A 26,121-nucleotide genomic window follows, 5' to 3' on the forward strand; every position below is an offset into this window, starting at 1 on the left:
GCCTCCGCGTGTCCGCTGGACAAGGATGACTTCTCCTGGGGGATCTGCTGTGGTGAAGACATCACCCTCTCTCAGAAGCAGCTTATTCCTGACGTCCTGACCAAGCTTTTGTTTCTTTTTTCTGCCCTAAAGCTCTACGTGTCATCTGACTTGGGGAAAAAGTGGACACTTCTGCAAGAGCGAGTGACCAAAGACCACGTGTTCTGGTGAGAGCACTTCCCCACCCCAAACCCATGGGGCCCGCAGCTCTGGTGAGAGCACTTCCCCCAAACCCTTGGGAGCCCATCCCTGCAGCTCCCTTTCCTCCTCTGGACCCTCCCCATCCCGGGGCTGGGTCCCCACCGTCCACTGCCTCTGCCTGCAGCCCCACACCCTCCTCATCCCAGGGGAACCCGCAGTCGTTCTTCCTGCTCCGCATTGGGTGGTATCAGAAATCGTAGAGTCCAGGGGTTGGTGTCCCTCAGGCCACGTTTTTACCCATGAACCAGCTATGTGGCCCTGTGCCACTGCTGTTCCCTCCCCGAGCCTCACAGCATCCCCAGTGGAGAGAGGTGCTGATGTACACATGTCCCCAGCGCAGCACCCGGCCCACCACTCCGCACTCCCTGCCCGACCCCAGGCCCTGACTCAGCCCCTGACTGACAGACCCCGTGGGTGCCGACCCGGCCTGCCTCAGCCCTGCTCTCCTGCTTATCCACACCTGGGCCCCCCTTCCACTGCTCAGCCTGTCACCCTTCCCAGCCCCTACTGGGTGCCAATGAGCAGGATAAGTTTGGGGTTGTACCCCAGACAAGCCCCCACCCTGGCCTCCTGAGGAGCCAGACCCGAGAAAGGAGGCTCCTGTCCCAGGCAGAGGGCCACTGGGGGCCCCTGTGTTCCGATGGTGGGTACCAGCCACTCGAGTGCATCCTCAGGGGAGCCTCTCAGTGTGCCCCCTGAGCACCCCAGCCTCACTGCACGGGGGGCACTCGGCTTTCCTTGAGAAATGTCTGTGGGATGCATCTATGAGGGCTGTGGAGGATGAGGGCTTGCCCAGGGTCTTAGGCAGCAGCATGGGGCCAGGAGCCAGTGCAGCCGTTCAGAACTCAGGCCTGCCTCTCTCCTGCTGGGGCCATATCCCGTCCTTCTGGTCACACTGCCTTTCATGTTACACCGCTCCTTGATGTGCTGATTCCATGGCATTCCTCTTTCTTGTGCGTGTACACACACACACACACACACACACAGTGCTAGCCTTTCTCTTTCTTATCCCACGTGTGGAACAGACCATTGCACGGGCCTCCTGCGCAGGCCACAGCCTGGTCTCCGCAACAGAAAAACACACGGAAAGGGCTTCCTACCCGTCCCGAGGGCTCAGGGCTGGAAGGGGAGCCCGGGCTATCAGCCCTACACACACTCTCTTGCCCCCTCAGCCTTCCGTTCCAAAGCTCCAATTAAAAACAATATTATTAAGAGGTTCAAGTTGGCGGCTGCAGAGTGGGCAAGGGCCCTTCGTAATGTCACGCTGACCGTGGCAGGAGACTGGCGTCCTGGCCACCCCACAGGCTGAAGGAAGCCTTTTTCCTCTGGAATGCCGATGGCTGGTGTACACGCCGTTGGCTCATGGGGAGAGGCGACGGCCGTCTGTCTGCGGATTGCCCACGGGAGGGCCCGGTTCCTCCCTCGGAAACCAGAGCACAGCCATCCATCACTGGCCTTGTCATTGCTGTCAACTGTCAGCAGCCAGAGCTGCCCTGCCTGGGCCTGAGCGCTCGCAGAGGTGGGGAGCAGAGCCAGGAGGTGCGATTTCTGAGCCAGGTCGCTCTGGGGGATTGGTAGAGCTCTGTTCACTCCCGGGCCAGGCCGGGCTCATGGACAGCTCTCCAGCCAGAGAAAGAAACCGACCCACAGCGCCCAGAGGGAAATTGGCGATAATTCAAACGTGTTATTATCTCAGGCAAATCAAATTGTTTCCTCCCCCAAGTTTCCCTGCTGTTACTCGAGGGAATCACAGCAGACACTGACCACCACGGCCCCGGCCCTGGGATCTCTCCTGGAGCGTGGTGACAGCGGTGGGGATATCTCCCCTCCCCTTGTAAGCGGTGAATAATGCTGTTTTGACAGCATTTCCAAGGAGCTCTTTGTCCTTGAACTGACAGCGGGAATTGCCAAAGCCCCGTGTTCTGTCTGAAGCTCAGACTCATTAACGTTTTGTGAAGCTACACAGCAAGCAAGCTCATTAGAGTGGCCTGCAAGCGAGAGGGAGCAGCCCCAGGTGCCCTGATACCTGCTGCCTCCTGGGCAGGGCCGCGGGTACCCGCCCCCCACCCTGCCCTCAGTGTCTCCACGCCCCAGAACAGAATCATAACAGCAGCTGCCCCGCAGCCATCCTGCTTTGAATACTGAGTGTCCGCTGGGCAGCACGTGGAGGCTCTGAGTGCACCATTCCACGGCATCCCCACAGCAGCCCATGCGGGTCTCCCTCATGTCACAGGGAAGAACTGAGGCTCGGGCACGCATTCTAGGTCTCATGTCACAGGAGGGAACTGAGGCTTGGATAGGCTCGGGCCCACATTCTAAGTCCTGCTGCCCCCAAGCTGTGGCCCTGAGACTCGGTCCACCTCTGGCTGTGGCCAGGGCCCTTGCCCACTCTGCTGGGTGGTCTGGCCGCTTGGGCTTCACCGGGTGTTCCTGCATCTGCCTCCTTGCTCAGCCCCACGCTCACCCAGGGAAAGCCTCAGCCTTCCTCTCCATTCGCTCCAGGCCTGGCCCTGGTGCAGGGCATGGGGGTGGCAGGGCCTCTGTCCATAGAAGGAAGAGGTGGAGGTCTCCCCACTACAGCCTTGATGATCACACCTTTCTGGGCTTAACAGAACCATTTGCACTGGAGCTGCCCTCAGCACAAATGGGGTGAAAGTCAGTTCCCACCTCCCCAAAACACTCACTCCCTGAGGGCCGCCTGCCCCCGGCCAGCTCACTGGCCTGCCATTTCTAAGCAGTGGAGACCTCAACAAGCAAGAAGTCCTGTGTGTCAGGCTTGCCATTTCCTGCGGGGAGTGGGGCTTTATCTGAGTTGTTAGAAATACGGTCTAACAGAGTCTTCAAAACCTATGACTGAGGGGCCTGGAGCAGGCACCAGGCCTCAGGCCACCTGTACACCGGTGTCTAGCCCAGGGCCTTCGCCAGTACACTGAGAAATGGCTGTGGGAAGTGCTCAGAGCAAGAGACTAAAGGAACAAACGTGGTAAATAAATGAATTTATAGGGTGAGTGACTCAGGAAATGAATGAGTAAATGGCTCAGTGAGTGATGAGTTAGGTAATGAATGAATGAGTGAATAAATGAGTGAATGAGTAGGTGAGTGAGTGAATGAGTGAATGAGTAACAACTGAGTGAGTAAATGGATGAGTAAATAACTGAGTGTGTGATTGAGTGAGGGAATGAACGAGTGAATGACTGAGTGGTGAGTTAGGTAATAAATGAGTGAATAAATGAGTAGGTGAGTCAATGAATGAATGAGTAAATGAATGAGTAAATAGCTGAGTGTGATTGAGTGAAAGAATGAATGAGTGAATGAATGAGTGAGCAAGTAACTGACTGAATGAATGAATGAGCGGGTGAGTGAGTGGGTGAGTGAGTCACTGAATGAGTTAGTGAGTGAGTGAATGAGTGACTGAGTGAATGAGTAATTAGTGAATGAGTGACTGAGTCTGTGATTGAGTGAATGAGTGAGTAGCTGAGTGAGTGAGTCTGTGACTGTGAGTGAATGAGTGAGTGAGTGGCTGAGTGAGTGAGTCTGTGACTGGGTGAGTGAATGAGTGAGTGAGTGAATGAGTGAGTGGGTGAGTCTGTGACTGAGTGAGTGAGTGAATGAGTAAGTGAATGAGTGAGTGAGTCACTGAGTGAATGAGTGAGTGAGTGAATGAGTGAGTCTATGGTTGAGTGAGTGAATAAGTGACCGAGTGAGTGGACGAGTGATTAGTGAATGAGTGACTGAGTGAGTCTGTGATTGAGTGAATGAGGGGCTGAGTGGCTGAGTGAGCGAGTCTGTGACTGAGTGAGTGAATGAGTGAGTCTGATTGAGCAAATGAGTGACTGAGTGAGTGAATGAATGAGCGAGTGGGTAAGTGAGTGAGTCGGTGATTGAGTGACTGAGTGAGTGACTGAGTGAGTGACTGAGTGGGTGAGTGAGTGAGTCTGTGATTGACTGAGTGGTTAAATGAATAAGTGAGTCTGTGACTGAGTAAGTGAATGAGTGACTGAGAGAATGAGTGAGTGAGTGAATGAGTCTGTGATTGAGCAAGTGAATGAGTGAGTGGGTGAGTGAGTGAGTCTGTGACTGGGTGAGTGGGTGAATGAATGAGTGAGGGCAGAGGGAGCCTGTGCCCCAGGTGTCATTGCCCCTCTTCACAGATGATGGATGATGAGGCTAAAATTCTGTATTGCTGGTGGAGGGCCTGCTGCTGAAGGGAACAATGCCTGTCTGTATTCAGGAGAGAGCAATGTCAGGCCTGAGACCTCCTTTCCAAGGAGCTTACAAATGGTCTATTCACAAAAGCCGAAATCAACACTCCACCTTGAAAGGGAGAGCTCTTTAACTAGGGTCAAAATGATTGATGCTGGTGCCCCTGTGTTTGAAATCTCAATAGACTACAGGGGAGTCCCAGCTGGCTCCTGCCACATGGCACATATGTGGGGTCTGTGCCACTCAAACCCATTTATGGATTTCCCCTGTCCACCTGGGGCCACTTGGGTAGACCTGGTCCCTGGAGAAGGTGAGGCAAATGGGGATCCTGGTGCCAGGCAGGTTGGGAGGAAGGTTGGGAACCGAACGGGGCCAAGTCTGGATGGGAAACTGTCAGTGGTGGGGAGAGGCCATGGGGGACTGGGCACTGTGCCTGAGACATCTCAACCACTTGCAAGCAGGCTATGTGGGTGCTCCTGCCCCCAACGCTGAGTGGCCACTGATACCAGGAAGTGACTTCCTCATCTTGAGGCTCAGTTTGCTCTTGGGCAGTGTCCATGAGAGGGACTGGTGTGGTAAATGGATAAGCGGCTTTAACAGTCATATTAGTTGGAATGTGTGTGATAACAAACATGACCAGCCACCAAATCCAGGAGTTCCCAGGGAGTCTTGCTTTGCAGAAGGCTAAAGCAGGTGGAAGTTTTCAGTGTGAAGAAAGTGGCAGGTAGATGACAGTTCAGTGGGCACATGGAGATGGTGAAATCTGGGAGATGGGATGCGGTGCTTGGTTTGAGAAACCCTGGACCAGGTCCTCACTAAGGTTCCTTTCATCAAAAAAAAAAAAGAAAAAAAAAAAATCCGTACTCCCCTCCTGGGAGCCAGGCCCAACACTGGGCATATATTGAATATGACACCAAAATTGGACTCCATCCCTGCCTTCCCTGGAGGACCAGCGTATGAAGCCGTGACCCTAGGACATGTCTTCTGTCCCGTCTCAGGCCTCATTCCAGGTGCTTCATAGGCTTGGCCCCTCACAGAACCCCTGTGAGCCAGGTGGTGAATGGATGGGTGGATGTCCCTCAAAGGCGAGGCTTTCAGACTTGCCAACCCTGAGCAGCAGCCTTTGCCCTGTCATTGCTGCCTCTGCAGCACTGAGAGGACGAGTACTGCATAAATTCAAGGCAGAATTGGTGCCAGAGTACTTACTGGAAAAGCCAGGAGAGAGTGTCCAAGAGGGCAAGCGAGGCTTTCCACCTCCAGCCAGCCCCATGCAGGTGGGCAGTCTGTGAGAGCACAGGGAAGAGCCTTGGACAAAGGGGCCAGGGCACATGTAGACTCCAGCTGAGACCCTGGACTGAGGGTGGGGCAGCTGTACTTCTCCCCCCCACCACTGTCCCTTCACTGTATTATTTGGTACGCAATGCTGTGCATAGCTAGGAAACAACCTGTGTGATGAAAAGATGTTGCTTTGGAAATGACAGAACCTGGGTAGTGGATCTTGCTCTACTAGCTTTATGAGCTTTGATCTGTTTTCACCTGTCTGGGCCTTGGTTTCCTCGTCTGTAAAATGGGTATAATCAAACCATTCGGGATCATTCAAGATAAGTATGATAAGGCAACTAGAGCACCTAGGACGTTCCCTGTACCTGAGCACCTGCCACCAAATGGAGGTATTAAATGAGTTCAAGTGACATGCTGTGTGCAGCACAGACTCAGGACCTGGCTTTTGCCTCTCAAGACAGAAGCTTCCTCCCTCTCCTCCTGCCCAGTTAAAGACTTCGCCCAGCAGGGCAATGAAACGGGGAGGGGAGTCAGACAGGGATGAGGTGTGGGTGGATTGAGGGTGGAGTGGGAGAACCACAGCCCCCGCCTGAGTGTCCTGACCCAGGAGCCCACAGGGCAGCTACAGTGTCTCCTTTATCTCTGTCCCCAAGGCCCGCAGCGGGCCTTGGACACCGTAGGTTTGTCCCACTGGGCTCTTAGAGATATCTATGGAACTCAGCCACTTGGCAAAACTCCTGCATTTCCTTCACGGCTTCTCTGAAGCTGGGACCACCCCCAAAGGAGGCAGAGTCCCATAACAGATGGGACATCTAGACTCGTGGTATTAGGAGAAGGCCTTGGTTGTGAGCAGGGCAGTGTGTGCGGTCTGAGGAGAGCATGCATTTTGGGATCCAGCAGACCTGGGCAGGAGCCTGAGACTGCCCTGGTCTGAGCCATGTTGCCTCAGGCAAGTCACAGACCCGTTCTGTCCCTAGTGGGGTCACCTATGAATGCAGATGAAGGCACCTACCTCACAATGTACAGTCCAGGCCCATGTGTGGGGACAGCCTGGTGCAAACTGTCGAGTGATGGGGTAGGGGGTGCATTCCTCTTGCTGGAGCCTTCGCCACCTCACGAAAGGATTCAGGCAAATCCCTGGAGGCAGCACCAGGGGGAGGGCTGATGGCTGAGAGAGCAATCTTCCCAAGGCCACACTTGACCAGGTCATGGGGAGCAGGAGACGGAGCAACAGCTCAGGTGAGCCTGGCTTGAATCACAGGTCAGCCCTTAGCACTGTATGGCTCTGGGAGAGTCATTTTGCTTCTCTGAGCCACAGTTTCCATATTTATAAAACTAGGATAGGATGGGAGTCCCAGGCCTGCCTGCCTCCTGTAGTCATTTTAGATGATCAAAATAAAACAAAACAAACAAAAATGAAAAAGCAACGTGAAAGTCTTTTATGAAGAAGAAAGTCTTTTACAAACACTCCCATGGCAGGAAGAAACCCAACCCCCTCAGCTCACGTAAGGAAGATGCAGAGACTCCAACCCCCTCAGCTCACTCAAGGAAAACGCAGAGACTCCAACCCCCTCAGCTCACTCAAGGAAAACGCAGAGACTCCAAGCACCTCAGGAGCAGGTGGGGTCCTGGGGTGGTGATGCCCTCCGGACCCACAGAGCAAGGGCGGCTTCAGAACCAGGGAGGCCACGTGGCTGCAGGGAGTGTGGGGAGCAGCTGGGGGACGGGCATGGTGACTCCATTCCCGACCCCAGCCTCAGCTCTTCTTTTCCAGGTCTGTGTCTGGGGTGGACGCTGACCCTGACTTGGTCCACGTGGAAGCCCAAGACCTCGGTGGAGGTAAGCCGGGCAGTGCACAGGCACCGGGTATCCCTGAGTCACCTCGCACCCGACACAGCTCGGCTGCACGTGTGTTCAGTCGCTTGTCCGCAATGGCTGGCCCTACACAGCCGGCCTCACTGTGTCTCGATGTGGCATGATTTTAAATGTGCTTGTTTTCCAGCTGGGGAGGAATCGAAGTCAGGGAGCTCCACTCCAGTGGAAAAGTCTATTAAGGGGGCGATTTGTTCTGGCTCCTGAGCATTGAGTGTTTCCCACTCACTCAGCCCACCACCCCTGGCATGTGCTAAGTGTGGAGGTGGGGGGCGGGGGTGGGGGCACGGGTGTGCACACCGGACCCAGCCAACTTCCTGCCCAGGGCCGTACATGCTGTGTGACAGGAGGGTGCTCTGAGGAGGGCAGAGCAGCTGAATCCCCACAGAGACATCCTCTGTGCAGGATCACCTGAGCCAGGATGTGTCCCCATTAAAACAGAAATGCCGGCATCAGCTCCCAGCCCTGCCGCTGGCCAACCTCGGGGCCCGAGGCCAGTCACCCCAGTCTCCTGGCCTGTGAAATGGATAGTGATATGAAATAAGTGAATGCAGAGTCCTCAACGCGGGGTCATCATGGCCAAGCTTTCGGGGGCAGGGTCAGTTGCTAGGTGTGGCTCCCCACCCTCCCCCCCCTCCCCCACCCCCACCCTGCCACACTTGGGCAGGCGGGGCCAGTGCTATTACCGTTCTGTGTTGATAACCAGGGCAACAGCTCAGGGGCAGTCCAGGTTTGCCTGGGGTCACAAGGTCCCAGCTGGTGCACCTCTCACCACCCCTGCTGGGAATGCTCCTCCCTTTCTGAATTTCTTACCTTTGACCTCAGGCACCCTGCCAGCCACCTCTGCTGGGCTCCACCATCCCAGCTCTGCACTCTCCAGGGCCTGCAACTCCTTGAGTACCAGTGGGGGCTACTGATCACCTGTGTCCCCAGTAAGGCTGCTGAATGAATAAGCACCTAGCCAGATGCCAGGGTTGCCCCTGAGTAGCCTACTGGGCAAAACATTGCAAAATAACATGTGCTACAGAGAGAAAGATTCACTGTCCGCATCACACCACGTTGTCAGGGTTAGCTGTCTGCCCTTTCCAGAGCTTCAGCTGGCCCTGGCTCATGAGCACCCACTGTCCACAGCTCTTTTCAACTCCATATTCACCAATTTCATCTAGGTGGCTCCTGCATGGCCATGTGGGGTTGTTTATACCACAGAAATTGGCAAGCACTATCATCAGGGCTACTATACCCAGCGCACAACCCATCAGCCTGAGAGGTGGCCCTGGTCTGTTGTGTTGGCTCCAGGCCTGGAACACTGAGAGCCTGACCATGGTGAGATGGATGAATGAGTGAGTGATTGAGGGAATGAATGAATGAATAGGTGAGTGAGTGAGTGAGTGAGTGAGCGAGTGAGTGGATGAGTGAGTGGGTGAATGAGTGAATAGGTGTGTGAGTGAAGGAATGATTGAGTGAAAGAGTGGGTGAATGAGTGAGTGAGTGAGTGAATGAGTAAGTGAATGAGAGAATGAGTGAGTGGGTGAATAAGTGAGTGAGTAATTGAAAGAGTGAGTGAGTGAATGAGTGATGAGTGAATGAGTGAGTGAGTGAAGAGTGAATGAGTGAGTGAATGAGTGAGTGAAGAGTGAATAAGTGAGTGAGTGAAGAGTGAATAAGTGAGTGAGTGAATGAATAAGTGAGTGAGTGAATGAGTGACTGAGTGAATGAATGAGTGAGTGAGTGATTGAGTGAGTGAGTGAGTGAGTCAGTCAGTCAGTAGACTGTTGACTGATCCTGCCCCTGAGCTAGTCATTTCACTGCATCTCCAGCCAGGCAGCCCCACTGCAGGAAGTTCAGTGGTTCAGTGTTGAGTGCCGGGCACACCAGTCAGTTTCAAGGGAACATGGATGTGGCTCAGGAGGGCTTGGCAGTGGCCTGGTGCTGCTGCCCACGTACCCTCTGTGTACACTGCCTTCTGCCTCCTCTGAACAGACCGGGCAGGTGGGCCCACCCCATTGTTCAGTGCAGAAACCTGAGGCTGAGCTTAGGGGTGGGCTTTTCTGGTTTCTAAACGTCTTCCCTTAACCATTCTCCATGCTGCCGGGTCACCCAAGGCTGGGGGCAGGAGGAGGAGGAAAAGGAAGAGGAGGAAGAGGAGGAGGAGGAGGCACCCTTCCCTTGGTCCCCTTGGATAAATCTTCCTCCTGGCTCACAAGCTGGAACGCAGAGCTTCCTGAGGCCTCCAGGATCTAGCCCCTCCACATAAATTTGCCCCGGGGAAACAGAAGAACTTCAAATTAGCAGCTCCCTGACAAAGCATGCATTCAGTATTGCTCAACCATAAATATTTGGAAAAGGGTAGAAGCAGTTGCTTAAAATTTGGGGGAAAAGAACCCTTGAGCCCCACCCGCCCCCATCCCTGCTTAGGTGTGAGAGACTTCAGGAGGGTATGGGGGCCGTGCATGTCTGGGTGTGGCGAGGTACCCACCGTCGCCTGTGCTGACCCCTCCTGCAGGGGATGGCAGGCTCCAGAGTAGCACGAACACCTTCCTGAGGGTTGAAGGAGCTCGTGTCAGAGTGCAGGTGGCCCACAGTGAGCGAGGATGACACCCTCAGCCGCAGGTGTCATCACGGTGGCCTTTAGAATTCAAGCCCATGAAGCCACACCACAGCGGTATTGGAGGAAGATGGAGTCCAGCACATGTCTCGGGCCGTCTCTGGCTCCGGCTGGAGTCTGACCGCCTGGGTCGGCGCCTCTCTCCTGTAGATTTTCGGTACGTCACCTGCGCAATCCACAATTGCTCCGAGAAGATGCTGACAGCCCCATTCGCAGGCCCCATTGACCACGGGTCTCTGACCGTGCAGGACGATTACATCTTCTTTAAGGTAAGGTTGCTTCTGGGGCTTTTGGAAATTGGCAACAGGTGACGTGGCGGATGACCCGTTCGCGGCAAAAATGGCATCGCTCAGAAAAGAGGCAATAAAACGGGTATTTCACTCTCAAATGCTACTTCGCAGGTCACGGTTTCTGACCGTGGCTGTGGCTGCAGCCATCCACAGAAGCCCTCGCAAGCCCAGAACTGTGGCTCAGGGACACTGAGGCTCCACCTCCCTTCTGGCCACCACGAACCTCCCAGCCACTCGGGGTCCCCAAACCTAAGCCCATTTAGCCCCATTTGGCTTTATCAGTGACTTTGGAACTGACCAGGACTGCTTCTGGTCCCGGCTCTTGGCCACCAGGCACCGGCTATCCACAGCCCTGTGACCAGGACTCTGCTGCCTGTGCCCTCAGGTCACAAGTGGGCCCACCCTCAGCAGCCATGTGGTCCCAGCTAATTCAGAAACTCTAGCACACAACCAATCCATCCAGCTTTTCTTCACCTTCATGGATGGGGAGCTCAGCCCTCCCGAAACAGCCTAGCCCTCTGCTGAGTAGCCCGTCACTGGCCTGTTTCTTCTGGCCCTGAGACAGAGTCTGCGTCATCGGACTCCCATCCACTGGGTTCTGTTCTGCCCTCTGGGACCCTGTAAAACAAATCCAAAGTTTCCCCCAAGGAAGCCCCTTGAGAGCAGCTGCTGGGTGCCCTCTCCCCAGAAGGGCCTCCGTGCTTCCCAGCCTCCTCCTTTCCATGTCTCAGCCACACTTGGTCACCCCAGCAGCCCACTCTACACTCAGTCTGTGCCAAGGGCCACCAAGGAGTTAGGCGCTAGGGCAGGCAGTGGGCATCCCATCCCCCACTGTTAAAGCAGGCCAGACAGGAGGCTGCTGCTGCCACTGATCCTAACCTCCAGCCCTGCCCAGTCTCCACTGCTCTCTGCTGAGCCCCAGCCCCTGGCTTTTGATCCTCAGTCCATGCATTTGCTCGTACTGTTCCCTGTGCTGTGCCTCGCTTCTCCACTGGCTGATTCCTGCTCCTTCTCAAAGACTCAATCATGCACTTCCTCCTCCAGGAAGTCTTCCCTGACTTCTGCCTCCAATTCAGGGTCACTGGTGCCTCCTCTGAAGACCCCCAGCCCTGTGCCTTCCTCCATCACAGTCCAGGCCCCACTGTGTCATTCCGTACCATTTACTCCTTTTGTCCCTACACCTGACTCAGGCAAGCTGAGGCTGGGCTCTAGGTCTGAACCCCCCACCTGCTTTCCCAGCTCCTAGCATTGCATTTCTGCAGATGTCCACTAAGTACCAGAGCAAAGACAGTGTCAGCTCTCTGGGCAACCATCTCCCATGTTGAGTGGTTTCTAAACGTTAGACAGGCTCGCCTGTCAAAGCCCTGCAGCCTAAGACCCCCGGAGCTCACCTATGGCCGAGCAGGCTGGGTTATCACTCAGTGCAGCAAGAGGGAACACATGCCCTGGGGAACCTGGGCATCTCAGAGAGGTTAGGAGGGCCTGATTGTCAGGTGTGGGCTGCAGGAGGTGATTTGGGGGGCTTGCGAGGAAACCGGGTGTGACTCTGGATTGAGGGATGTGAGGAGGTGAGGTCCTGCTAGGATTGGGCATCTCAATCAATCTTCTCTAAAGGGAGGGGCGATTCAGGGGAGGCAGGAGACTCAGGGGGAGGCAGGAGCCGGGCAGTAAAGCAGCAGCCCTTGCTCATCTCAGCCAGGGTGGGTGTCTGGGCATCTTGGGGGTTTGAACGACGTCCACGTCTGGTCTGTGTTCAGACCCGATCGCAGGGTGGTCTCGTTCTGCACAAGGTCACAGACTTAGCTTGTCTGGTGTCGGTGCTCGCGACATTGTTTGTGAGGGGCAGGAGAAGGTGGGGGCCACCGACTCCATCCAGTTTCTATCCTGGTTTCCGTCATTCTCAACAACTGCAGAGGAAAGCTCTCCCTACCCCAGCCCAGGCCTCCCCTGCCCTCTCCCTTCCTCCCTCCTCCCACCCTGGTCCTCAGAGGATCTGGGAGCCTGTGCTGGGATGGGAGAAACCTCAGCCCTTCCAGCCCCACCTCACCACCAACAAGGTGGCGGTGCTGGTGGCTCAGGAAGCTGCACCTCCTGTTCTGTGGCAGTGAGGATATGTGGCCTCTGTAATCAGAGACCTGCCACAGTCCTGTCCTGACGGGCCTTTCTGTCTCTGGGAACAGATGCCCATGGCCACAGTTCATGGGGTTGATTGTTATGAGGTCAAATGAGCTGCCTGGGAAAAGCACTCGAGATGGTGCCGGCTTTGTTTGTCATGCCTCGAGGTTCAGTGATCACCTTTGGTAACGAGCGCATCTTTGGCCTGTCTCCTTCTCCATCGGAACTTTCTCCACCTTGTTCCATAAGTTGGATGCAGAGCAGCAAGGTGCTGAGAGAGCATAGGGAAAGAAGTTAGTTCTGACTGAAGGAAGCAGAAGACAACTTCCCAGAGGAGGGGTGTTAATTTGGGGCTTTGAAGGATGAATAGGAGTCTGTTCATTTCAAGCAGAACAGGTAGAAGGAAAGTAAAAGGGCATTTTCACTTGCTGAATATAACATGTAGTTTTTCATTCATGAGACTGTGGCTGGAGAGGGAATCAAGCCTCTCAAAAATGTGTTTCTTCCCCCGGTTAGGCAACATCAGCAAACCAGACAAAATACTACGTCTCTTATCGTCGAAATGAATTTGTCCTGATGAAGCTGCCGAAGTATGCATTGCCAAAGGTAAGGTGCTCCCCATTCCGCCTGGTCCTGTGGCCAGACCCTAAGCTTATCCTGACTCATGGGGCAACAGGACTCACACACAGGTGCTTGGCGGTCCCAGGTCAGGATGGACAAGAACAGTGTGGCCACGCTTCGTCCAGCTGCTCACCCCTCACACCCTCCATTCCAGCCCACCCAGCCCTTCCAGACTCAGCTGTGCCCAGCTTCATCCTAGGCCTCTGCCAGGCTCTTCCCTCTGCCTGGTTCATCTTTCCCCGGAACCCTTGCACATGTGGTATTTGAGGAGAAATATCACTTGCTAAAGGCCCCCCAGGCGGGCCCAGTCCTCTGTTTTCTGGTCCCATCCCTCTCTTCTCCTTGCTGGTGCCCAGGGTGCCAGGGACCCCTCCCTCCAGTGTCCATCTCCTGCTCTCCTCTGATATTGCTGGGGTGGGGATGATCTCTGCTGTACTCACCTCTGCATTCCAGCCACCTAGTATGCTGCCTGGCATATAGTAGGTGCTCAGTTATTGCTATTGCCTTTCCCTTGCCTTAGAAGGCGAAGAAGGGGGACCAGGGGAGCTGGGGATTGCCCAACTCTGCCCCTGCCCCTGCCTTGGGGCCTCTCTCCACCCTATTAATATATTATTCCCACCTAACAGAGGAGGTGATGGAAGTTCAGAGAGACACTAACCTGTCTGAGATCACACATCTAGTTAGAAACAAAGGCAGATCTCAAACTGAGGTCCAGGTGAGTCAGCCCAGCCTCATGCCACACCTCCCTCGTGAGGACATTGAGATGACACCTTCTGAAGATCTCTGTCCCACATGCATAGTTGAGAAACAGATGAAGCTTCCCTTCCTCCACATTTATTTACTGAGCACCAAATATAAACCAGAATGTGTGCTAGGAGGCCATGCTGTGAATCAGAAGCCCCAGGTTCCTGCTCCTGTGGGCTTTACAGACGGGGAACAGGCAGGAGATCCAGTAGACAGACAAATGCATAAAATAATTGCAAGTTGTGGTTTCTGCTAAGAAGGGAACAGGAGGGAGAGACACAGAGTGATGGAGGGCGTGTGTATGAGTGTGTATGTGTGTGTGTGCTCGAGTGCTTGTGTGTGTGGCTGATTTAGGCCAGGCAGCTATGGAGGCCCCTCTGGGGCTGGGATGGGGAGGGACTCTTTATCCAAAGCCCCAAGGCAGCTCCAAGAAGAGCAAGGGAGAAAATGGTTCGGGTGGAGGGCAGAGCAGGCGCTAAGACCCTGAGGTAGAGAGTGAGAGTGGAGTGGGAGGGGCCAGCAGCTCTGGGCCCTCCAAACCCAGGCTGTGGCTTAATGTAAAGTGCTTGCACATGGGAGCTTCTGCACTGGGCACCCTCAGACCTCTCCTGAGCCAGAAATGGGAAAAGTCTAGGAGGCCTTTTAAAACCTTCGCTTTAAAAACAAGAAAAAAATAAAAGGAAAAAAGGAGTGAGCTTAATAGACTGAACTCCAGGCTTGGCTGAGTATGTAAATTAAAAGCTAATGGTTTCATTTCAGGCAAAGGCAGTAGGTGTCTGTCCCTCTGAGGTGAGGGACCTTTTCAGCATCTGGGAAGCCTTCCCTCGACCTTTGGGGGCTACAGCATTAGAAGCTCCTGTGTCCTGGGCTCTTTGTCCTGGTGTAGGGGAGAGGAAAGTGCACAGCCGAGAATTAGGCCCATACAGGGACCCTCTCTGCTCCCCTCTAGCATTGGAGGCTGGGGTAGCTGGGCCAGCAGTCAGCCTGCTGCCAAGGGTGCTCTAAGGAGCCTATGGCTATAAGTCATGACCTCTGTGACCTTGAGCGATGGCTCCCTGGGCGTCTGCTCCCTGGACCTGCAGATGCAATGTCAGTGAGATTTGCAGGAAGCACCAGGTCATGTCTCCCGCTGTGGACCCTTGACAGTGTGCATTTTACACTGGTTTTCTTCTTCTTGCATTTCCATGGAAATTGGAGGTCATTGAAAAGACTCAAGAGACTCTCACAGCAGTGACAGACACACACCCAGCCTCAGGTCATTCAGTTTCAAGGGCATACCAGGGAGCCATCCAGGGCAGGTGGCATGTGCTGTGACTATCGATGTCCTCCCTCAGGGGTCCATGCACAGGACCCAGTGACCAGCAGTTGAAGATGATGGTCACTTCCTCATCAAGAAGTGGGCAAGCTGGGCTGCTGTCAGGAGAATGGGGCCCCCAGAGCCCTACGGGGTCTTCAATACCACATCTCATGTTGCTGAGACCTTTGCCCAGCCAGCCAGCTAGCCTGCTTCCTCTCCACCCAGGTCAGGACAGCAGCCTGCCCAGTGTTTCCCACCAACAACTTATAGAAGTGGCTAATTGAATTTCCTCATCAGATGTTGTTGTTTTATGGTGAATTTGTAACTTGCCTGTTTCCTCTTCCCACAGACTCAACTCTCTCTTTTTTTTCTTTTTATATTTTTAATTGCTTAATTAACATCATGAAAATCATAGACATTGGAGCAGGGGACTCACCCGCAAACCTCTCACCTCATCCACCCAATGTCTTCTCCCCCAGTTCTTGGTCTCCCGGCATTCCTCAGCCATATGCAAAAGGGCTTTTACGTAGCTGAATTATGAGCAGTCCTGGGTCTCCAGCCTGCTTTCACAGGACACTATAGCATGAGACTGTTTCTTGAATGATGCGTGATATCTACTTTAAATGACTGTGAAGCTTTTTATTGAGGAGAGTGTACCTTGTTGAGCTAAGCCAGAGTCTTGTTGCTTGGACATTTGGGTTGTTTCCATTTTTTTATAATTATAAACAGTGCTGCAATGAATCTATGTGTGCCCACAGGTATTTCTTTTTAATTTTCTCATGTTAAAGTCTAAGAAGAACAACTTCAGAACAAAGGATATAAATATTTGTGTAGCTTAGTTGCTTGGGCAAGCTGGGCTGCTGTCACAAACAAAGTTGGAATAGATCAGCTTCAACATAGCTTTGCCATGTTTTTCTATTTTCCTTCTGTGTTAAAGGGTATAAATGATACCGTCCTGCTGTTTTAATTTACCTGTCTGTGAAAACTATAAAGGGTGGGCCGTTTTTATATTTGTCAATATCTTTTGCTTATTTACTTGTCATCATTTTTTTTAAATATTCATTTTCCCTAACAGAGGTAAACAATAGGCCAAAGCTATAAATAGAGAAAAGAGAAGAAAAATCCAAATAACTATCAATTATATAAAAGCATTCACAAGAATGGGTAAATGCAAATTTAAAGTGAAATATTCCTGTATTTGCCATAAATGTATTTAAAGTAAAATAAAATTTCTAAGCCGTATGAATAAAGAAAGAAGTGACATCAGGATCAGGTAAGATGGCAGAGCAGGATGCCCCAGAATCCATCTTCCCACCTAGAAGGCAACGACACGGGCAGAACCCATCCAGTGTAACTGCTTTGGAATTCTCAAGTCTATTTGAGAGCTTGCAGTTTCCAGGGCAAGGCATGGATGGCATATCAAAGTCGATTTGGATAATGTCAGCTCTTAGCCTGGTAGAGGCTTCCCATCCCCCACCCCGGCCCCATGGCAGGCAAATGTGCGTGTGTCCCTAGAGCAGCGTGCACAGAGCTTGAAGGAGCGGGAGGGTGCAGGGGTGCCATAAGGACCTTGTCTTCCAAACACTGAGGATCTGTGCTCTGATTACTGACTGCTTCTGATGATAGACATGCAGATACCCAGACAAGCAGTCATTATTGCAACCACCATGAGTTGAAACAGCTTCCAGGAGATTTAAAGGGTTACAGCCTATTTTCCTCTCTTTTATTTTTCCCCCTTTTCCCTTTTGGGAGCCAGACATTCAAAAGCAACTGTATATATGGGACAATGTAGAAAATCAGCAGGCATGCCCAGGGAAAAGCAGAGGCTCAGAAAAGGCCTAGGAAGATGTTAAGCTTACATGTAAGGCTGATTCTTGGTAAAGAGATAGCCAACAACCATCAAAAAATAAGAACAAAACATGGCAAGCTCTATGGAAAGGGGACAAGCTAATTTCCAGAGTTACCATATTATTAATGTCCAATCTAACTGGACATTAGACTCAACTGTCCAGTTTTTGACATAAAAAAGTTACGAGGCATACAAAGAAACAGGAAAGTATGAGCATTCAAAAGAAAAAAAAAATAAATTAACATAAACCTTCCCTGAGAAAGACCAGATGGCAGATCTACTAGACAAAGACTTCAATATGAGTGTCTTACAGAGGCTCAAAGAACTGAAAGGAAAAATAGAGAAAAACAAGAAAATGATGTATGGACAAAATGGAAATAGCAATAAAGAGATAGAAAAAATAAAAAGGAACCAAAAGAAATTCTGGAGCTAAAAAGAATAATTGAAAAGAAAAATTTACTAGAGGGATTCGAAAGCAGAATTGAAAGGCAGAAGAAGGAATCTGAGAACTTAAAGATAAGACAATTAAAACAATATCAAGCTGAGGAGCAGAAAGAATAAGGATTGAAAGTGAACGCAGTCTATGGGAGCTTTTGGACATCATCAAGCAGACCAACATATGATTGTGGGAGTCCCAGAAGGAACAGAAGAGAGATAAAGGCAGAGAGACTATTTGAAGAAATAATGGCCCAAAACTCCCCCATCAATTTATATTGATGAAAGACATGAATATAAGTATCTAAAATTTCAACAAACTCTAAGAATGATAAACACAAAGAGATCCACACCAAGACACATAACCAAACTGTCAAAAGACAGAAACTTTTTTTTTTTTTTTTTTTTGAGATAGAATCTCCCTCTGTCACCCAGGCTGGAGTTCAGTGGTACAATCTCAGCTCACTGCAACCTCCACCTCCTGGGTTCAAGCAATTCTCCTGCCTCAGCCTCCTGAGTAGTTGGGATTACAGGTGCCTGCCACCATACCCAGCTAATTTTGTATTTTTAATAGAGACAGGGTTTCACCATGTTGGCTAGGCTGGTCTAGAACTCCTGACCTCAAGTGATCCACCTGCCTCAGCCTCCCAAAGTGCTGGGACTACAGCCGTGATCCACCATGCCTGGCAAAAAGTCAGAAACTCTTAAGAGAGAATCTTGAAAGCAGCAAGAGAGAAATGACTTATTACATACAAGCAATAATCAATATGATCATCAACAGATGTCTCATCAGGAACCCCGGAGTTCAGAAGGCAGCGAGCTGATACATTCAAAGCGCTGAAAGAATTTGATGAAGGTGTTGGTTCATTAGACTCTTTCATGAATTTTATATAAACATCTATGAAGAAATTTCCTCTGTCATGTCTATTAAAAATGTTTTTAAACTTTTCCAAAATTACTCATTTAAAATGCATTCACTACAACTAATGGAAGAATACATCTATTTACCTTATAATACAACATAATAAACAATACTATGTATATGTGTAGATACCCTTTCTACCTGCTTGCCTCTCTAGTCCTCCCTTCCCTGACAGTCTCACTTCCTCACTCCTCAAGGAGGTATTGTTGAAAGTCCTGGATACCCCTCATATCCATTCTGCCCCTTCGTCTTAGTTCAACAAACCCCAGACTTTGGCTAGTACATTGCTTCCCAGCTAAAAGACTGCATTGCCCAGCTTTCTTTGCAACTACATGTGGTCATGCTTGTAAAATCTAGCCAGTGAGATGCTAGTGGAATTGTCCTACGTGGCTTCTTAGAGCTCTCTAATAAAGAGAGCTTTTTCCTGTTTCTGTTACTCACAAGCAAACCTAATTCTACCTAATAACAAATATTGGCAACGTTGGTGTTTCCTTCCGCATATTTCTCCAGGTCATACAAATATGTACAATCACATATACTATATGTATATTTGAATGTGTCTTACATCCTTCATGTAAAAATATCAAAATGTCTCTGCTTCTACCTTTTCTCAAAGAAGACAGTAAATGCAACATGAAGCGAAAATTGCCTGTTATTTATAACTCTAATCAGCAAATATTTTTAAAAGACCATTCTCAATATTGGAATACATAAAACGAAATACGTGCCCTCTACTACTGCTGGTGGGGGAGATACTAATGTAAATTTTCAGGACAGCAAATTAACAGCAGATAACAAGAGCTTTCGAAATGTTGCGATGTGGCAATTTCCCTTCTTAGGAGTTTATGTCATGGAAATAACCAGAGAGCCAGAGATCTGTGTCTAGAAATGTTCATGACCATCTCGCAGTTATGTTGAGAACGCTGACGGTTTCCCCGTAGGGAAGCAGCTCAGTGGAATATGGCCCGTCCACAAAATGGAATATCATGCAGTCATTAAAAGTGCTGTGTATAGATCACTTTAATGGCAGAGAAAATGCTCTGCCTGTGATGTAAAGGGGCAGACTATAAACTACACATGAAAAAAATATGTGCACCACACTTGAGAGAAAGCCCAAACGTAAACATTTGAAAACGCTGGTGCGAGGTCTCTCTAGGGGGCACCAGTCATAACCTCGAGTCACTTTATGCATTTTTCTTTGTTTCCTAGATTGTAGAACACATTTACCCAATGCATTTACCCAGGTTATGTAAACATTTACCCAGGGGCATAGGAGGCACCATGTGACTTGCTGCAATCGCTGTAAATACGGCATCCTGACGACATGGTTGACGCCAAGCCCCCGAGCTCAAAGCACCCATAATCTCAGTCCCCCCACCACCCCTGCAGGAGTCTCACATCCTCCCTGACAATCTGACTGCACGGTCTAATTCCCTGCCACGGCCCAGGCTGGTGGACAAACCTTCCCCTAGTCAGGCAGCAGAATGACCAACGCCCGGATGACAGAGTGCATTTTGGCCCATGGCGCTGAGCAGGGAGGAAGGGGGAGCTGAGGTGAGGAGGGCAGAACAGCCACAAGCCTGCTGCCTCCGGGCACTTCACATGCCTCCGTGGGCTCTGCATCACCCATGGTCCCACTTCACACATGGGGACGGCCAGGCTCTGGCACCCTGCCCCATCATCCTTCCCTGGTTCTGTGTGTCTCGGTGCCAGTCATTTCTGTGTGTTGAATTTCGGTCCATAGACACAGGACTGTGGCTCCTGCCACTGTGGGGTCCTCTCTGCCTGTGGGCTGCATGGTAGCTCCAAAATAGCAACACTCGGCCGGGCGCGGTGGCTCACGCCTGTAATCCCAGCACTTTGGGAGGAAGGCGGATCACGAGTTCAGGAGATTGAGACCATCCTGGCTAACACAGTGAAACCCCGTCTCTACTAAAAATACAAAAAATTAGCTGGGCATAGTGGCAGGCGCCTGTAATCCCAGCTACTCGGGAGGCTGAGGCAGGAGAATGGTGTGAACCCGGGGGGGCAGAGCTTGCAGTGAGCTGAGATTGCGCCATTGCACTCCAGCCTGGGCGACAGAGCGAGACTCTGTCTCAAAATAAAAAAAAAAAAAAAAAAAAAAAAAAAGCAACCCTCTCCTTTTCTGCACAGCCCTTGGGGCTGCATAGCACAGGGAACAGGCAGGGCAGTGAGGGGAAGGGGCCGGGCCTCAGCGTTCAGGAGTCCAGCCCGACCCTGAGCCACCTGCCAGGGCAGCTTCTTCCTCATTCTCCACTGAAAACTGAGCTCCACTGGACAGAATCGGGATTTGATCTGTTATTGTACAGAAAAAAAAAAAAAAAGCCCTTCCCTAGGCCCTCCTATCAGATGAGAACATGCGAAGGGAGCCATCCCCAAGCATCCCAGCCACAGCTACACCGTAATTGGGAGGGGCGGCTCCGCAGGTGGGGCCAGCCGGACCCTCCTCTGCCACCTGTCCTCTGCCCCTGGACCTTGGCACTGTGTTCTCAGAGGGTGATGAAGCTCCAGAGTGAGAGAAGGCAAAGGAACAGAGGTGGGAGGGAAGCTGGTTAGGGCTTCAATATGGGCCTGTCTGGACCCTTTTACTCTTGCCTCCCACATAGCATTTGTTGCTGGCTGGGCAAGAAAAGAAAACAAGAAACTGAGGTATTCCCAGTTTTCCTTTTTATTCTTTTGGGTTTTGGCTGCTTCCTGAATTTAAAAACCTGGGGCTGAACCCGAAGCGCTGAGCCCACTCCAGAGCTGCCCAACACACCTGCTTCTGAGTGGAAACCGAGGCTGGGGACTTTGCCCTGGCTGCCCTTCAACCTCTGAGACTAGCTTACAGGGTCCTGGTGGGGCTCCTTCTCTGCCTCCCCCTCCAGACTGTGCCCCCAGGGCTCAGGGCTGGCAGGGACCGGCACAGGGGGACTGGAAAGAAGTCTGGCACATGTACAGGTGGGGATATTGTCCCCAGACAATGAAGCTTGAGTGGATGAATCCACGGTGCCTCCCTGCAGGTCGCAGAGGACAGGGCCACACCTGGCTCCCCACTGCACTCAGGGCCTTTCTAGGCATCCAGTGGCTGGAAAGTTTCTGGCATGGAGTTGGTACTTCCCAAATGTGTCTTGAATGAAGGAGGGAGCAGAGACTCACCTGGGCTGTGGATAGGAGGAGAGGGAGGGGCTCCAGCCCTCACCCCCTGGAATCAACCATCTGGGGGTGCATAGAGGAAGAACTCCGCCTCCCCACTGTTGGACGGATGGATGGACGGCCTGATGTGGGACCAGGAGGAGGAGGTGTCCCCAGGCCACCCTCCCATAACCCGGCGTAGAGCATCCCAACGCCATCCCCATTTTAGAGATGGGGAAATGGAGGCCCAAGGAGGTGAGGAGACTTGTGCAAGGCCACAGAGCCCAGAGCAGCCGAGCCAGGAGGCAAACCTAGGCCAGGCTGGCTCCAGGAGAGCCAGGGGTCTTCTGCACCCTCACGGCCTGTGCAGCCTGCTTCTTCCTCCCTCGTGCAGCCCCCAGCCTGGCTCTGACCCTGTGCTCCCTGCACATCCCCACAGGATCTGCAGATCATCAGCACGGACGAGAGTCAGGTGTTCGTGGCGGTGCAGGAGTGGTACCAGATGGACACCTACAACCTGTACCAGTCGGACCCACGGGGCGTGCGCTACGCGCTGGTGCTGCAGGACGTGCGCAGCTCACGGCAGGCGGAGGAGAGCGTGCTCATCGACATCCTGGAGGTGGGTCCAGGGTGGATGTGGGCCAGGTCTGCCGCCGACCCCCTGCCCTCTGCCCTCTCACCCCACCTCTTCCTCCCCCCTCCCCTCCCGCCTGTCTATATAGCTGTCTCAAGGGTCTGCACACATCTTCTGTACACAGCCAAATATTTTAGGCTTTGCAGGCCAAGAGGCTATTATGTAGGTATTTTTAGAGAAAGAGAATTTCCTTCTTGAGGAAATTCGAAATACAATGATCATCAAGTATAAGTTCTTGTCATGAGAAGAATGGAATTCTTTGAGGGAATAACATTTTACTGACTTGGGTTCAGCCTGAGTGTTCTCTGCCAGCTCTCTCACAAGCCCTCATCAGACGTCCTGGGCTGGGGTCACCCCTGAGGGCAGTGCTTCTCTCTGAGTGCCCCATCTCTCTCCCTCTCTCCCTCTCTCTCTCTACCCCAGCCCCTTCGTCTCCTCCTTCCTCTCCCTCTGTGTGTCTGAAATCTGCCTTTCTCTCTCTCTCCCTCTCCCTCTCTCCACCCCCGCCCTGTCATCTCCTCCTTCCTCTCCCTCTGTGTGTCTGAAGTCTGCCTTTCTGTCTCTCTCTCTCTCTCTCTCTCTCTCCCTCTCTCCACCCCAGCCCTGTCATCTCCTCCTTCCTCTCCCTCTCTGTGTCTGAAGTTGGCCTCTCTCTCTCTCTCCCTCTCTCCCTCTCTCCCTCTCTCCCTCTCTCCCTCTCTCCCTCTGCCTTCCTCTCTCCACCCCAGCCCCTTCATCTCCTCCTTCCTCTCCCTCTCTGTGTGTGAAGTTGGCCTCTCTCTCTCTCTGTCTCTCTCTCACACTCGCTTGCTTTCACTTGCTTGCTCTCGCTCTCTGTCTCCCTGGAACCCAGCCCTCCACCCTCCCTGCTGCCACTTCTCTCACCACCTACGAAGCTCTGGCCTCCCCTCCTCAGTTGCCGTCTGAGCTCAGATGGGAGCCTTCCTCGCTGCCCTCCTGGGTCCCCCTCGGCCTCCCGCGTGAGCCTCCACTGACCCCAGAGAACGCCCCGTGCATCGCACCAATGTGGCTCCATTTCCATCTGGATCCCTGCAGCAGCCCCGCCCCGGCCAGGCCGCTCACAGGCCTCTCCTTTGTTCCTGAGATGCCATGGCCAGCGAGGGGGGCTACTTGACCCATGTACAGGCCAGAAAACTGAGGCTCAGAGAAGGCAAATGACCTGCCCAGGCAGACGCAGACATAAGCAGGAAAACCAGGACCGGCCCAGGCCTGTCTGCTTTGAGCCTGGTGCCCTCCTCTTGGGACCCCTCTCAGTTGTTCACCTCCAAGCTCCTTCCTCTTGCCTGTGGGGACACCCCCCAGTGGCCCATTGATGCAGGCTGGGAGAGTGTCCCGTGGGTGGCCAGTAGACCCTGGGCAGGCAGTGGCATTGACAAGCTTGTGAGTGGGAGGCAGCAGGCTCAGCATTCATCCCTCCCTTGACAGCAGCAGCAGAACTGTGGTCCCCAGGAAAATCACAAATGGAACCATTTGTTTGCAATAATAACCCATTTGTCAGGGTTCATCTCCCCAGCAGACGATGCAGATGCAGCCTCACTGCCAAAAGCCCCCTGCAGGCGGCCCTCCTCCACCTGCTAGGCAGCGCCCACCCCCACCCCTAGTGTCCCAAAGGCCCTGCCCTCTGAGCCTCTAGGAGGGGACTAGTTCCAGCACAGACCTGCCTCCGGAAGGCAGTGGGTGGGTGGTGATGGGATGGGAAGGGTGCCAAGAACAGGGTGGGGTGGGACTCCACGGCCAACCTGTCCACAGGCATCTGTGATGCCTGCACCACCGCATGCCATGCTCTGGTCCCTGCCCTCGGGACACAGGCTGGGTACAACACGCACCATTCACCCCTCATGAAGCAGGAAGACGGCTCCCAGCTGTGGCTCTGAGTGAGAGTGCTGGGGCCTGGAGACACAGCACAGGGGCGGTTGGCCAGCCTGGGGCAGGAGTCAGGGAGTGCTTCCTGGAGGCGGCTGAGCAGGAGTTAGCCAGGTGAGGAAGGAACTCAGAGCCACACACACAGGCATCAAGGCGAGAGGAAGCAAGGAGCCAGAAGAAGTTCGCAGTGGCCCGGTCCAAAGGCGACACCCACCGTCCACCAGCTGGGTGCCCTCCCAAGGGATGGCCCTTCTCTGAAAACCATCAAACATGGGTCACAGCTGGTGGTTACAAGCACAACTCTGGAGCCTGACTGCCCGGGGTTCAGGTCCATGAACTGGTATGTATTTGCTGTGTGGCCATAGGTGGGTTTCTTAACCTCTCTGTGCTTCCTGGAGACACAGCACAGGGGCGGTTGGCCGGCCTGGGGCAGGAGTCAGGGAGTGTTTCCTGGAAGAGGCTGAGCAGGAGTTAGCCAGGTGAGGAAGGAGCTCAGAGCCACACACACAGGCCTCAAGGTGAGAGGAAGCAAGAAGCCAGAAGAGGTTCGCAGTGGCCCGGTTCAAAGGTGACACCCACCATCCACCAGCTGGGTGCCCTCCCAAGGGATGTCCCTTCTCTGAAAACCATCAAACATGGGTCACAGCTGGTGGTTACAAGCACAACTCTGGAGCCTGACTTCCCGAGGGTCAGGTCCATGAACTGGTATGTATTTGCTGTGTGGCCGTAGGTGGGTTTCTTAACCTCTCTGGGCTTCCCTATGTGCAACAGGAATGGTAGTGGCACCTTCCTCACAGGGTTGCTGTGAGGTTTAAGGCTGTCATTCCTATTAAACAGGCAGAGCAGCGCCTGTTTCCAAGTGAGCACTCACTTTGTTTTCCCAGCACTTGCCCTTTCTGGGGATCAGGGATAATTCATGGTGGGGCTGGCACCTGAGTCTCACTGCCCACGGCCAGTACTGTTGCTGTCGTGGTTGTTGTGCACCCAGCAGCACATCCAGGAAAAAAATGTTTGGTACAGACGGCAGAGCCAGGTACTGCCTCGGAAGGCTGCAGGGGTCTCTCCCCCAGCAGGGCACAACCCAGGTGTGAGGCAAGACAGCAAACATTTCCTAGGCTCCTCTTTTGCTGGAGCTTGGGTTATGAATGGGGACTTAGGGGACATAGCCCTGTCCCCTGCCCCCAAGGAGCCCTGGCCACAAGGCATCCTAATGGGCTGAATGGTGGCCCCGAAATAGACATCGAAATGGTGGCTCACATGCTAATACCCAGGCCCTGCAATGTGACCTTATTTGAAAAGGGATTTTTGCAGCGTCATGAAGTGAAAGACTCAAGCACTCAAGAGATCATCCCATATTATCCAAGGGACTCTAAATGCAATCACAAGTGTCCTTATCAGAGACAGGAGAGGAGCCACAGGCACACAGAGAGGCCCCATGGAGACAGAGGCAGAGACCGCGGCCGCACGCCAGGGAGGGCTGGAGGCGCGGAGGTGGAAGGGGCAGGAAGGATGCTTCCCTGGAGTCTGCAGAGGGAGCGCAGCCCTGCCCACGCCTTGAATTTGGACTCTAGCCTCCAAGAGAATGAATTTCTGTTGTCTGAAGCCACACAACTTGTGGGACTTTTTTTTTTTTTTTTTTTTACAGCAGATGCAGGGAATGAATATAGCTGTGATATGGGCAGTTATGCAGAGACACACTGATATTCTAAGCTGATGCTCAGCCAATCAGACCCACCCGGGGGCCTTGGCCTATATCTGGATCCGTGTTATTTATTGCTGAGCATTTTCATGGAGACCCAGCTGGGATATAAAATGGCAGTTACCCAATAACACAAACCATCATGGGAAAATCATCCTTCTACCTGCCCTGAGGACAGCAGAAAGGCATCTGCACCAAGCACTAGACAGGGCAGAAGCCCTCTGGGTGATGTCCCTGGGTCCCCATCCTGCCTGCCTTGTCAGGGTTCTATGAGCTTGTAAGACACAAAGACTTG

At 52.7% G+C, this 26,121-nt stretch overlaps 1 protein-coding gene across 9 annotated transcripts in view, besides 4 other annotated features; it reads left to right on the top strand.

Moving 5' to 3' along the window:
* SORCS2 (sortilin related VPS10 domain containing receptor 2) overlaps positions 1-26,121 on the top strand; it is a 550,290-nt gene that overhangs the window by 461,464 nt on the left and 62,705 nt on the right. For all 9 annotated transcript variants that reach the window (XM_005247987.5, XM_011513515.3, XM_011513516.3 and 6 more), the window contains 5 exons: positions 133-206; positions 7,499-7,563; positions 10,352-10,470; positions 13,123-13,212; positions 22,049-22,228. In XM_005247987.5, the coding sequence (XP_005248044.2) occupies positions 133-206; positions 7,499-7,563; positions 10,352-10,470; positions 13,123-13,212; positions 22,049-22,228 (528 nt within the window). The remainder of the gene's footprint in view (positions 1-132; positions 207-7,498; positions 7,564-10,351; positions 10,471-13,122; positions 13,213-22,048; positions 22,229-26,121) is intronic.
* Positions 1,903-2,493: an enhancer, noted in NCBI's record as "H3K27ac-H3K4me1 hESC enhancer chr4:7657631-7658221 (GRCh37/hg19 assembly coordinates)". NCBI's record gives its function as "activates a minimal SCP1, AML or CMV promoter by ChIP-STARR-seq in naive H9 embryonic stem cells {active_cell/tissue: H9 hESC(naive)}" and the evidence as "EXISTENCE:reporter gene assay evidence [ECO:0000049][PMID:30033119]".
* Positions 2,494-3,083: an enhancer, noted in NCBI's record as "H3K4me1 hESC enhancer chr4:7658222-7658811 (GRCh37/hg19 assembly coordinates)". NCBI's record gives its function as "activates a minimal SCP1, AML or CMV promoter by ChIP-STARR-seq in naive H9 embryonic stem cells {active_cell/tissue: H9 hESC(naive)}" and the evidence as "EXISTENCE:reporter gene assay evidence [ECO:0000049][PMID:30033119]".
* Positions 19,516-20,016: an enhancer, noted in NCBI's record as "H3K4me1 hESC enhancer chr4:7675244-7675744 (GRCh37/hg19 assembly coordinates)". NCBI's record gives its function as "activates a minimal SCP1, AML or CMV promoter by ChIP-STARR-seq in naive H9 embryonic stem cells {active_cell/tissue: H9 hESC(naive)}" and the evidence as "EXISTENCE:reporter gene assay evidence [ECO:0000049][PMID:30033119]".
* Positions 22,744-23,736: an enhancer, noted in NCBI's record as "H3K4me1 hESC enhancer chr4:7678472-7679464 (GRCh37/hg19 assembly coordinates)". NCBI's record gives its function as "activates a minimal SCP1, AML or CMV promoter by ChIP-STARR-seq in primed H9 embryonic stem cells {active_cell/tissue: H9 hESC(primed)}" and the evidence as "EXISTENCE:reporter gene assay evidence [ECO:0000049][PMID:30033119]".

Source organism: Homo sapiens, chromosome 4 (genome assembly GCF_000001405.40).
Source record: "Homo sapiens chromosome 4, GRCh38.p14 Primary Assembly".
NCBI lineage: Eukaryota > Metazoa > Chordata > Mammalia > Primates > Hominidae > Homo > Homo sapiens.